The sequence below is a fragment of the Homo sapiens genome, chromosome 10 (assembly GCF_000001405.40).
Source record: "Homo sapiens chromosome 10, GRCh38.p14 Primary Assembly".
In the NCBI taxonomy this organism is placed as follows: Eukaryota; Metazoa; Chordata; class Mammalia; order Primates; family Hominidae; genus Homo; species Homo sapiens.
This window is the reverse complement of record NC_000010.11, coordinates 49,618,507-49,632,002: the sequence shown is the minus strand read 5'-3', so window position 1 is coordinate 49,632,002 and position 13,496 is coordinate 49,618,507. Positions and strand designations below refer to the sequence as shown.

Below are 13,496 nucleotides of genomic sequence, written 5' to 3'. Positions count from 1 at the left end.
TTGTTTTGGAGCTGGAGCTGTTAGGTTTTACCCCCCCAATAACCATCATCCCCCTTGTTTCTGTGCTGCGCCAATATCTTCCTAGGTCCCCATCATGAATATCTGGGCTCTCAATTCACCTGCTTCCCCCATGCTACTGGAATCATCGTTATGGTAGTATGTGCATCCATGTGGACGCCCAGTCTCCATCCTCCTCTCCCAACTCCTCCATCTCCACACCTTTGACAGTCTCACCCCTGCACCCATGGCCAGTATCACATCTGGGAACTTCTCTCTACCATGAGCCCACCACCTCTAAAGTCTCAGTTTCAAGCATCCCACACTCTGACCACATTCCTGGCTTTCTAGTTCACATCCTCTGATACCCACTGAACACATCTCATGTCACTGAGACGGCCAAACCCCTCGGCCCTGCTATGCTCTCACCATCTGTCATTTACCCTGTCTGTCACTTCATTCCTCTTATGGGCCAAATTGTGTCGTTCCAAAATTCCTGTGTTGAAGTCCTAACTCCCAGAAGCTCAGAATGTAACTGTATTTGGAGATGGGACCTTTAAAGAGACAATTAAGTTACACTAGGCCATTTGGGTGAAGCCTAATCCCATATGACTGGTCACCTTATAAGAAGAGATTAGGATGCAGATACGCACAGAGGCAAGACCACATGAAGACACACAGAGAAGGTGGCATCGACAAGCCAAGGAGAGAGGTGTCAGGAGAAACCCACCTGCTAAACTGTAAGATAGCAGGTGTCTGTTGTTGAAGCCTCCCAGTCTGTGGTACTTTGTTACGGCTGCCTGAGCAGACTTGAACCTGCTGAGCAGACTTGAACACACTTCCTTACTCAGCTCAGATTCCAGCATGACCGTTCTTGGCCACACCTTCACCGTCCCTACCAGTTACACTCACCAACTCTGGCTGAACCTGAGGAGCTGAGCGTTGGTGGGGAAGATCACATAACAATGTTAATTAGCCTCTCCTAAAATGTATCACTTTGAACCTTCATATATGAGCTCAACACAGTCCATAAATCTTATCAAGTTTTTCAAGTCTTCTTTCCCACTTTCCAGGAGGCTATTTCACACAGTCGATTTCATCTTCAACATCCAACTGCCCGCCTCTTATCTCAAGGTTGTGATCTGAGACCAGGAGGTACCAGTTGGGAGCCTCTGCATGCTCCTACCTCTGCTGCCTCAGGCCCAAGCTTTCCACTTCACCCTGTACCAACCAAAGGCCTCTTATTTTCTGAGTTCTATCTCCTTTTGCCTTTGCAAGAATTCCACCCCTCCATTCATCTCCTATCTCTTCATCAATTTCTTTTACTAAATTCCTTCCATACATTTGTCTCTCCTCCTAAAAACACCTCCCTTGACCCTCATCCTCTTTTAGCAACTCCCTCATTTTTCTGCTCCTTTTAGTGTCAAAATGTCTGAGAAAAAGTCGACCATACTCACTGGTTCAACTCACTGACTGCCTCATCGACAATTTCTTTCTGCTGTTGGATCACTTCTGTCAGTGTGCAAGCATTTGTTCTCCTGCTACTCCAGTCTGACCCTCAGTAAGCCCAGTGACAACTTCAGGGTTGCCAAGCCGGGTCCCCTGTGTCCTGTTCCTCCTCCAGCTCTCCACAGCATTCCATGTGGCTGGCCGTTCCCTCTGTCTTGAATCTTTGTGACTCTTCTGGCTTTCCTTTACTTCATGGGCTACTCTTTCTCAATCCCCTTTGCATCCTTCTCTACCTGACCTCCAGGCTCCCTGTTCTTCTGTTTCTAGATTATCTCACCCAGGTCCATGACTTTAAGGATCATTTATGCGCTGATGTCCCTCAAATTTATTGCTCTGTACTGACCTCTCCCTTGGGCTCCAAACATATATATTAAGCTTGACGTCTCCACCCAGATGACCCAAGCACCTCTAACCCAACATGTGTGGCAATGATTTCTCCATCCTGTACCCACTCCCCGACCCTGTTTCCCATCTTACTAAATGGCACTAACATCCACTCACGGCTCGGATAAAAAGCCCAGGAATTGTTCTCGCTTTCAATGGCCTTGACGTCACTGGTCTCTCCATCTTCACTCTCAACCCTGTCCCAAGCTGCCATACTCTTTCACTGGGAAACCGAAATCATTTTGTAAATGGTCTCTCTGTTTCTGTTCCATAGGCAGGGCTGCTCTGGGGAGGGGGGATCTGTGAAGGATCAGTTTCCTGTTGTGTAGATGACACAGTTGGCGCTAACTGGATTAATCGGATTACCCAAGGGGAGGCGCATGTGTCCCCTCCTTTCTGTCGCATTTCCCTCAGAAACAGCACTTCCATTCAGAAAGCCAGATCAAGTGCCATTAACAAATCAATTCTGATCTGCAGCCCAAGTGCTCAGACCTTGGGGCAATCCAGCCAGCCCTGAAGGGCGTGTCTTGGGCCTGGCCTGCTAATAAAGTGGAAACTATGCTGGAGGCAGAGGCGATTATTTTGATGCCTGTCTCTGTCCCTGAAGGGGAGAAGAGTGGGATTTGATTACACCATGGTCTCCCGAGGGAATTAACTCACTGCGGAATGCTAAGTTATTAATTCTCCAGCACGAGGTTAGGTCCGGGAGGGCAGTCAGCTCTCACACCCCTCTTTGGCTCCTGCAGCCCCCTATTTATGACAGCATTCAGGAGGTGCCCAATAATTGGATGAAAGAATAATTAATTGGTAAGTCGGGGAATAAGTCTGGGGCCTGGCATTTTTAATCACCCTTCACTCTTTTATTTAATAAATGTAACTGGGCCCAGACTGTGTTTCTCAGAAATTAAACCAAACAGACAAGGCCCCTGTCCTTCTGACCTTATAGGCAGTGGGTAGGAGGTGGGGGGAAAGGCAGATAATCAGCATTTATCAAACAAATGCAAAGTTGTCCTCAGAGAGTGAGCAACAGAGTCAAGGTAAGCGAACGGGCCACAGTGACAGAGTGTGCGGGAAGGATGCCCAAGGCAGGCCTGAGGCCGGACACCTGGGCTGAGCTCTGCGTGCGGCAAGGAGCCAGCTGGATCTGGGGGAAGACCCTTCTAGAGAGAGACCAGAAAATGCAAGTGGCTGTTAGAAAAAATAGGCCCAGTACATCCGGCTCAGGCCACCTTTGCTGGGCAGCTATTCTCCTCCTCACCCTGGGGGTAAGGTGGGTGTGTCCCTGCTGGGCCTCGGGCTTTGCCCAGGGTTGGTCTGCCTGCCTGGGTACCATCCTTCCCTCCAGCCTTTCTCACTCATGCCATGGGGCTTTGTTCCATTCCCACCTCTTCTAACAGAGCCTTTCACAATCCCACTCGGAAGGGCTCCGTCCCCTCTCTGAAGTCCTGGAGCACGTTTTTGACGCCTGTCTGAAGTGGGTCAGCACTGCATGCACCTGGATGTGAGTCTCCTCCCCATGCCCCCTCTTCCTGTTCCCATCATGGGGCTGCTCTTGGGTAGAGGCCTCAACTCCTTTGTCTCCCATACTCCCTGAGCCAAGCCCAGGGCCCTCAGTAACAGATGTGGAGAGTCTGAATAGATTGCCTGACCCAGTAAAATTCTGAGGGGTAAATAAAGACTCACAGAAGTCTTGCTTCTCATCCAGTGTCTCTAACATGGGCAAGGAAGGAGAGCATTCCATCAGCTCCTGGAATAGGACCAGCTTTGGATTTGAAAGTAGTTTCCAGAAGGGTGATGAAAAATTTTCAAGAATATTCCTGGCTTTCTTATGGGAATGCTTGGAGACTTTCATCAGAACAGTGCCACAAGATAAGGGACAGCTTGAAGATGAAGAGTCCCAGGATGGAGAGATCAGGTGAAAGAGGTGGTGAACCACTTTCCCAGAGGCAGGCTCCATCCCACACCCCCATTCAGCGACTCCCCCAGCCACTATCAGTGAGCGCCACCCACCAGGAAAACACACCTGCTCACTTGCAGCCAGCCTTCCTCCAGCTAACTCCCCCGCCCCGCCCAGTATTCTCAGACATCCCCAATTCCAGCACTAGTTAGTCCCACCAAGAAAGCCAGATACTGTCAGATGGAACACGAGGGCACAAAAGGTGGCTTCGGTGGCAAGGCACTGTGGCTGGCCGCAGGGCATGCTGTGGGCCCTGAGCTCCCACACTATGGCTGATGGGGATGAGGCCCTGGCCCAACCCTAGAGGAGGGAAAGCCAATGGGCACGAGCATGAGATGGGCATGGAGATGTGCTGGGCACTGCGGCTGACCTTTCACGAGGACCGTCCTGGCCTCGGCCCACTCGCTCCTCCCGTCAGACGTCAGCAGGCCAATTGGAGGCAAACGCTCGTCCTCGTTGGAAGCCATTTTGACTATCTTTCTCAACTGAGTGAACAGATCCCCCTCACTGAGACGGCGGAAATTAATGACAACATCCAAGACAAAGAACTGTGGGGTAAACAGGTCAAACATGTCACTTGTTGGGTGGCCCGTGGCACCAGGCCTTCACTCAGCCTTCACAGGTAAGCTTGGGGCAGGGATGCTCAGGCCCAAGGTTCCCAAGGTGTTTGGTGGTTCTAGTCTCAGTTTAGGGACCAAGCCAAGGCTGTTGACTGTGCTGGATTCCACGCTGCCCCCAATCAAAGAAGGCAACATTAAACTTAGCCAAAAGAAAATGTGTTTCATGGTTCACGGAATCCATTATGTTTGTGGGGAATGGAATATAAATTGGCACAGCTACTGTTGGAGGGCAGTGTCTATCAAAACTAAAAATGTGCATACCTATGACTAAGCAATTGCACTTATAAATGCATATTTTAGCCTGAGGCTTAGAGAAACGTACCCGTGTGTACCGGAAGACACGAGGAATGTGCCTCTCGGCCTTGTTTGCAACAGCAAAATGGTAGCAAGAGCCTCACTGTTCTCCAGAAGGGGAATGGCTAAGTGAAATGTGGTGTATATGTCTAGGGCATGTCTACCCAGCCATTGAAAAGAGTGAATTAGCAACAGATAGAGCCACAGTGATGGGCCTTAAACACACTGGTGAGTGGAGGAAAAAAAGCAAGCCAGCAATCATATGCAGAGGAAGATTAAAATGGAAAACCAACACACACCATGCGTGCATGTGCACCTACACATGTGTGCATGTGTGTGCACCTTCACATGTATACCTACATGTGCTTTGTATGTCAGCCCTGTGGTTTTGTCATTTTGTAGCTTTGAAGGCTAGAGCCTTGGGCTTTGTGAAGGGTCTATTCCTAGACCCAGGTCAAGATACACTTTTCAGCTGATTGACATGAGTACCTTGTTTTCCCTTCCCCTCCAACCCCCTAGCAGTGTCTGTATGGCCTGGTCTTGTGCAGGGGCCCAGAGCATGTCTGGAAGAGGTGGATACGGTGGCCTGTGGGAGCTGGGAAATACTTGGCTTGACTTTTGAATGAAGATGGGGAAACGTCCTTGGTCTATGGCCAAGGTGTCAGGTGGGCTGCGAGAGCTCCTAGATGGCCTTCAAATCTAGGAACAGAGGTCACAGCTGCCCTCAGATGTCAGGGCTCCACAGAGCTCCCAACTTACTAAAAATGTGAGGAGAGCCCAGGATCACATTGTAGAGCAAGTACCAGGGGAGTCCCTGGGATGGTTGCCAAACTTGGGTTTTAGCAAAGCAAAAACAAAAACAAAACTGTTTGTCAGAGGAAATATTTATGTGAAGCTCAATATATGGAATATATAGTGCAGTGGGCACAGGGAAGAGGTCAGGAGCCCTCATGCTCAGCCTGTCCCCCAGGACCCATGGGTCCTTGTTGGCTCTGTGGAACCCAGTCTGAGGACCTGAGCTGCAGGGGGTAGAGCATGACCTTAGGGCACTGGCCAGACCCAGGATTCCTTCCCACTCTTGGACAGACCACTTAACTTGTCTGAGTCTCATGTCCTCAACTGTCACACAGAGATCCTAAGGCCCCCTCTGCATGGTCACTGTGAGGATTAAGTGGGATGAATGCATGTTAAGTGCTGAGCCCACAGGCTGACACATGAAAGGTCCTATTTGTCAGTCTGTAACACTGTCTGTCTGTGTGTGGTCTCCAGAAAGGCCAGAGCCTGGGTGACTGCATGGAAAAGAACAGATGTACAGGTGGAGGTCTCGATCATGACCCTCAGTGCATCAGTGCTGAAGTGAGAGTCCAGTGAGGATATTCTCAAACTGACGGCTCTCATTCTTAGAAGGCAACTGGTGGAGAGACATGGGACTGACTGGAAGTAGGGGCCCCACTTTGGAGACATGGTGCCCCAGCTCCCTGTGTGACTCAGGGAAGGAGGCTGAGCCCCCTCGGAGAAGGTAATGGACGTGAACGCATGGCCACTGTATGCTCTGTGCCCTCCCTCACCAAGACAAGGGGTTGCTTACCTGATTGCAGCAGGCTACGATGACGTGCTCAGGCTCCGGCATGATGCTGCTGTTCTGAGCCACCAGCGTGTCCTGGGTATGGCCGGGGAGCCGGTAGGAGGAGAAGAGCCCATAGTATTGCTTCATGCAAAGGGGCTGCCCTGACAGCTGGCCTTTGGCACAGTCAGTGGGAATGGAGTGGCTGAAGGAGAGGAGTGGGAAGGGAGGCAGCCACGAGGGGATGGTGGGTGGTGAGGGGAGACAGAGAATGGGTTTTATTGTAACTTGATCAGGCAAAATGGGGCACAGAACCCAGAACTGCATCATCATGGCAGATGCAGAGCTCAATTCTCCACTTTTTAAAGTAGTGGAGGCCCCATTTCCACAACACGTGGAGACCCTCAGAGTTTTCTCAAACCTCTGCCTCATGCACGGCATGTGCAAAGCCTGCCAGTTAGCCTTCTGCATCTTTGCTTATGCTGATCTTCTCTCGGCGTGCCTTTGCCCCAACCCCAGAACTCAACTGTTCTATTCAGAAAACTCCTTCCCCTCCTTCAAGAGCCTACTCCTTTATCATCTCTTTTAGAAGCCTCTTCTGAGGTCAATGCAGGAAGTTCTTTTTCCCTCTGGTCTCAGCATGCCTTGTGCCTATCCTTCCTTTCTCCCTCCCTTTCTTCCATCCATCCACCCATCCATCTATCCATCATCCATCCATATATCCATACATCTACCATACTTCTACCACGAAACATCCATCCCTCCTTCCACCCACCACCCACTCATCTATCCACCATCCACACATCTATCCACCATCCATCTATCCTTGCATCCACCCATCCATCCACCAAGCATCCATCCATCCTTCCATCGACCCATCCATCCACCATCCACCCATCTATCCACCATCCATCCATCTTTCCATCCATCCATCCATCCATCCATCCGTCCATCCATCCTTCCTTCCTTCCACTCTTTCAGCCAACAAATATTTGTGAAGCACGTCCTCCGTATAGGCCAGGCACCATTCTGGGATGTGGGGATATGGCAGCAAATAAGACATGCAGCTCCTGCTCTACTGGGGTGTAAGTCCTAGGATGTGTAGGTAGGGAGTAGACCACAAGCAGCAAACCAGTGAACAGGAGACTGTCAGGTAGTGAGACAGAGTGTTGGCAGGGACAGGAGGTGGTGACCAGGGGCAGTCTCACTGAGGCAGGTTGATTGAGCTGAGCCCTAAGGGTGAAGTGTCCCAAAGCACTGCAACTCAAAGTATGAGTATTGCACTGAACTGCTGTGACTGACCCATGACTTGGTGTAATGCCTGAACCCAGAAATGTTTGTAGCAATGTGATGGGAGTTTTATGTCTGTTGAATCCTGTAATAAAACATTTGGTCTCATATTTCATACCGTTTTTCTAGTAATCAATTTTTTGTTGTTTTTCACAAATTTTACAAAATGAAAGAAAATATATTGGTTCTTCCCCAGAGGCAGCTTGAGAAGCACTGATCAAAGGCAGAGAGAAGCCAGTGGGGCTGAGGCCCAGTGAAGACAGGGCCAGAGAGGTGGGCAGGCCAGGTCCTGTGGGGCTCCAGTGGCAGTGGAGAGGAGCTATCGCCTTATTCTTGGTGCAGTGAAAGCCCTTGGGAGGCTTTAGCACGCAGGGGCATGACTGGGTTTCCATTTTGTTGTTTTACTGACCCTGCTTATATGGGGAGAATGGACTGAAAGGTGTCACAGGAAGAACAAGGAAGGAGGTTGTGGCAGAGAAGGAACGTGATGTCTTGTGAGGGCAGCAGGGAAGGAGGAGGGAGCTTGGGGACACAGTGGGGAGGGAGAATGACCACATCTGAGCACCATGGGTTACATGAAGGTGCAAGGGAGAAAGCAGAACAAGCACAGGTGACTTCTAGGTTCCCAGACTCACCAACAGGGCATGTGCTGGTGCACTTACGGACATGGCTCGACAAGGTATGGGAGGAGTTGGGGAATGGGGAGGGAGAGGCGAAGCTCTCCTGGCTCATTTGTAATGACTGAGAGACACCCCGGTGGGGATGGCTGAGGCTTGGATGAGCGAGTGTGGGACTCAGGGGAAGGGACACAGCTGTATTTTGTGTCTGTTTAAGTGACTGTCTTGCCCAATAGTCTAAGGACATTTTGAGGGGAGGATGAGGCCTTATTTCTCTTCCTCTTCCCAGCATAACTACATTGCAAAGTGAATAAGTAAATTAATTAATTAATTAATTAAAGGTTCAAAACAGGCACTCAGGAAAATGTTCCAGTCTTAAGTCCTTTTCAATCATTGGACATGGGAACCTCCACGTGGATATGCATGGGTATTCGTGTCTGTGTGAGTGTGCACACACATGTGAAAGTCTGGGATCAGAAGGAAAGTGGTCTCGTGGGGGCAGTCAGTGATGAATGGGCACCAAGTCCCCAGGCCCAGCAAGACAATGGTGTTTGAAAACAGACAGGACGGTGAGCTGGAGGGGCGAGTTCTGGGAGGAAATAGAATGCTGTCCACGAAGAAGGGAGAGACCAAAGACACACCATGAGGAGACAACAGCCCAGGGCCTAGTGACCCATGGCATTTAGAGAGGAGTGAGCAGAGCACACAGGAGCGTGTGGTGCAGAATGCCCTGGACAGCCTGAACTGCTCCACCCTGACAGTCTGGGAGCTCTGCCTGCCCCTCTCCAGAGGGAACAGCCCTACCCTGGAAGGGGCTGTGGGTCTGAGCCTCTGTCCCAAGGCTGGGTAAAGACTGAATTGAGTCAAGTTGAACAAAGAGTGAAGTTTGCCCCTTGCCCCCTCCTTGCTCTGCCACCACCTGGCTGTGTAACCATGGATGAGTTACTTAACCTCTCTGAGCTGCAGCTTCCTCATCTGTGCAAGGGATGCTTCTTTGGGCCTCTCTCTCTCCTTCCAGCTTCTAATGCCCTTATAGTCTCTACCTTGAGAGACTTGGGTCCTCCAGACCCGCTTACTCTCCCTGCTGCTCTCAGACACCCTCCTGCTCTCCTAAGCTTGGCCAGGAGAGGGACTTTCTTCCTAAAATCAAAGAGAGCCTGCGGTGCTTGAGCAGCCCTCTCCATCTGTCAGAACAGCCTCATGTCCACTGAGCTTGGTGGGATTGAGGATACAGTCTCCCGCTGGAGACACCATTCCTCCAAGTGGCAAAGCAGAACTCCCATCACCTTACTCTAACAACTCTTCCTTCCCCGCCTTCCTATGTGTTCTCCAGCTTCAAGTGAATTCACTCCACCTGTGCACGTATGTGTGGAGGGAGGAGACATTTTTAAAAGATCAAGGAAGGATGGTGCTTGCCACAGGAAAAGGAACAGTTAACAGACAGGCCAGCCAGGCTAAAGGTCATCCTGATGGTGGGGGAGTGGGTTGGGGCAGGGACATCTGCTCTGTGCCAGGAGCCAGGAATGGGAATACAGAGCTGGAAAAAGACAAGGTCCCTGCAAGGGAGATAGACGCATAGGCAGACTGTGCTGGAACAGGGCACCACCCTCCCAGTCCTACCTGTCCAGCAGGGCCTTGTAGCTGAGTACACCAGAGATGAGGCTGGCTGCAAACCTGCAGGGAGAAGGGAGGCCTGAGCCCTTCCTCCCAGGGCCTGGCTTCCTCCCTCCCTCCCTCCCTTCTGCCTCCCCTCCCTCCTTCCCTCTTCCTTCCATCTCCTTCCTCTTCCCTCCCTTCTCCCTCCCTCCTCCCTCCCTCATCCCCACTGCCAAACTCTGTGATCGCCCATTGTATGCCGCCCCCGTGTGCACTAATCAGATGTGGTTCCTGCACTAATCAGATGTGGTTCTTGCCCCCCAGCCCCATGCCGAGAGCCCACCACAAGCCTTGGATTCAAAATGGTCCTTTGGTGAGAACTGGGGGTCGAGTAGCTCTTGGGGAAGGGAGAGGAAACTGGAATCATCTTGAAGAGGAGAGGGAGCAGAGAGGGAGACGGAAGCTAGGAGAGGCCACAGAGCAGGCCAGAAGGGGTGGAGGGTGAAGGGTGGAGTTCTTCCTTGGAAAAGCCAGCCCTGGGTCTGGACAGGGCAGGACCCCTGGCCTTGTGGAAAATTTTCTCCTGGGAAAAGCCAGTAATTTGGTCCCTTTCCTCCCACCCCCCGGTACTAATGAAAAGGAAATCGAGTGCTTGGGGAAAGGCACTGGAGAAACGAGCAGCGGGAACTGTCATACCAGGATTCTGGGCCTGGCTTAATTGCACCAGGAGGAAAATACCCCCTCAGATGCAATTGTGAGAACTGTTTTCAGAAGTCATTCATCTGTCCACACCTTCCTTCTTCCCTGGGGAGACCCCAGCTACAGTGGGAGGGAAGGCTGGCCAGCTGGTAGGGTGGGGTGGGGAGGTCTTCCTAGCATGGCTAAGCCCTGCCCAGAGGAGAGGTGGGCCCTGCCTCTTGTCCTCGGGCCACTTTGGTCTGCCCTCCCTCTAAACCGTCCCCACCATTTGCCCCACTCAGGTCTTAAGACCAGACTCTGAGTGACTCCAGAAGGGAAACCCTTTCTCCCTGCACCCATCCTCCATTGTCATTAGCGGCCAGAGGCCCTTCCAACGGCTCAGTGAGCTCTGAAATTACAGCAGATGGCACAGGCTCTGGCTGCTGGCAGGGAGGAATTGTTTCCAGCCTTCTGGGGCCTCTGTTTAGAGCTGGGGGCTCTGGAAGGAAGCAGAGGCCCTCTCAGACAGCCTGGGGCAGTGTTTCCCAGGGACAAGTACTGGCGTGGTCCAGGGACACACGCCTCCTCCCAGGGCCTCAGCCAGGTGGAGGCTGTGGGGATATTTGGACCCATGACCTCCATGAGTGTCCATTCCACTGCAAGATAAATATAGACTAAGGCTAATTGTGTGATTGTCACTCGAGTGCAGCCACACCTAACCTTGCTCCCCACCTGATGGCCTGGACGTCCACTGTCTCGGGGCATTTGACCCCAGGAAGCTCAGCCGAGGCTCCAGCTTTGGCCTTTCTTTGCTGGCACTGGGGTAAGGGCCCCTGCCTTGGGTGGGTCCCCAGGTTATGAGCTAGGAGCACCAAGGCCTCACCTCAGCTGGTCATCGGTGCCAGGGAAGTGCTGCCGAGCAAAGATCACGGCAGGGCTGGAGTTGACAGGCAGGGCCAGGCGGTTGTTGAGATACATGTCATTCAGCCAGTACTCAGACACCTGCCGGGGAGGGCAGGGAAGGCCGTCACATCCCCCCAAACAGTCCCATCCTGACAGCCCCGAGAGAAAATCGGGACACTTCACCAGAGCATTAATTCATTCATTCCACAAATATATGCTAAGCCCCAGGTATGTGCCAGGAGCTTCCCAGTCCACCAGGCCTGTCCTTCACCTTTGTGCCCTCCTGTCTCCTTTCTTCTGTCCCAGTCCCCATCCTGGTGGCTTGGTGCTACATCGCTGTCCTCTGCCTGTCCTTACAGGTGTCTTCTTCCTGCCTTTCACCCTCTCTTCTTTCCTAATGCGATCTCTGTCCTCATCTGTCCCAATTCCTGTCCCCGATTTGTCCGCCTCTTTCTCTATCCGTATTTCCCATTCCTCATCTTGTTTGTTTCTCATCCTTGTCCCTTCCTGTCCTCCAATCCATGCCACCTGCCTGTTCCCACACCTATCCCCCATCCCTGTCCCTCATCTCTCCTTCTGCCCTGTCTTTGTCCCCTACCTGCCTCTCACCGAGATCCCTCTGTCTCCAGGTCTGCCTCCCGCCCCTCTTCTATGGGTTCCTTGTCTGCCCCTCTTACCCAGTTGGCTGTCTTCTCCTGCCGCTCCAGGAGTTTCTGCTGCAGGGTCTCGCCGAGGCCACCAGGGGCCCCAAACTGCTGCACAATGGCCTGGCTCTTCCTGAACTGCTCCTCAGACACCAAGTGTCGCATGCACTGCAGGTACGTGGCCAGGGTCTGCTGCAGCGGGGGCACGGGCAGTTTGGGCAGCCCCTGGAAGAAAGGGTTCATAGGCATTGTGCCTCTAGTATGTGCGCCCCATGCCTGTCCCCAAGTTGGTCCCTAGTATCTGTATTGTTCTGCCCCTGTGTTGTTCTCTACCCTGGGACCCCTCCATTTCTAGGGCTCAGCTCAGCAAAATTATGAATTTAGGAAGTTCCTGTTTGGCGTCCCTGACCTCATTGTGCTCTGTCCCCAGAAAGGGATAAAGTGCAGAGGAAAATACGGTGATATTGGCATCAGACAGACCTGGGTTTCTACCCTGACCCTGCCACTGACCAGCTCTGCAAACTTGGGCAAATCAGCCTCCCTCTGTGCCTCAGTTTCTTCCTCTGTAGAATGGGAGTAGTAACCCCTATCTCTCATAGGATCAAACAGAAAATAGATATGAAAGTGCTTTTAAGCCATAAAGGATGGATCTAAGATGAAATAGTCCTGTTATTGATATTGTTGGCTGCTGGTGACTCTTAATTTAGAGATTGTTCCCAGCTGGGGCTCCAGAATCTGATTGATCTCTGGACCTGAAGGGGGCACTCTTAGGGAGAGATTTGGAAGGATAAAAGATGGTTTTGGATGAGAGACATAATTCAGTGCTGCCCTAATGACTAGAATTCTAAAAGAGGGTTCCTCAGAAGATGATTCATGCCCTGAGCTTCTTATAAGTCCCTCCTACTTATAAAACCCAGGCAGGGAATTTTGTTTCATGTGGGTGTTAGGGGCAGGGGTGGGGATGCAGTGGATGTCCTTCCTCTCCGAATCTCTCCAAGCCTCTGCTCCTCATCCATAGGACATAAATAACAATTCCTACCTGAGAGGAACACAGAGAGAATTAAATGGGGGAACAACTGGCCTCAAATAGGCACATCTAAAATGTTATGACCTCGCTATCTTATACTTCCAGAGGAATTCCCAAGAGGAAACCCATATTCTTTGGGGGCCCCAAAGTGTGGCTAGAGTCTAGGAAGAACCCCCAACTCCACCCTTCTATACGCATGCTGTGCCTCTCAGTTCACCAGCAGCGTTCACCACAGAAGGCTTCTGTGTGGCTTCAATTTTGTGACTTCCCATTTATGAATGAGGAAACTGAGTCCCAGAGAGTGGAGCAGCTGGTCCAAGGTCACATACAAATCTGATGGCAGACTAGGAGCTAAAATCAGTCTTCCATGTCCACTCTGCTTCTTTCTCCTGGGTCGTTCTCTCCCTTCCCTTTCA

At 51.5% G+C, this 13,496-nt stretch overlaps 1 protein-coding gene across 7 annotated transcripts in view; it reads right to left on the bottom strand.

The window, feature by feature from the left end:
• The window catches only part of CHAT (choline O-acetyltransferase), a 58,848-nt gene that overhangs the window by 35,940 nt on the left and 9,412 nt on the right, over window positions 1-13,496 (bottom strand). For all 7 annotated transcript variants that reach the window (NM_020984.4, NM_020985.4, NM_020986.4 and 4 more), the window contains 5 exons: window positions 12,087-12,278; window positions 11,390-11,508; window positions 9,853-9,906; window positions 6,350-6,530; window positions 4,218-4,395 (listed from right to left, as the gene is read on the bottom strand). In NM_020984.4, the coding sequence (NP_066264.4) occupies window positions 4,218-4,395; window positions 6,350-6,530; window positions 9,853-9,906; window positions 11,390-11,508; window positions 12,087-12,278 (724 nt within the window). The remainder of the gene's footprint in view (window positions 1-4,217; window positions 4,396-6,349; window positions 6,531-9,852; window positions 9,907-11,389; window positions 11,509-12,086; window positions 12,279-13,496) is intronic.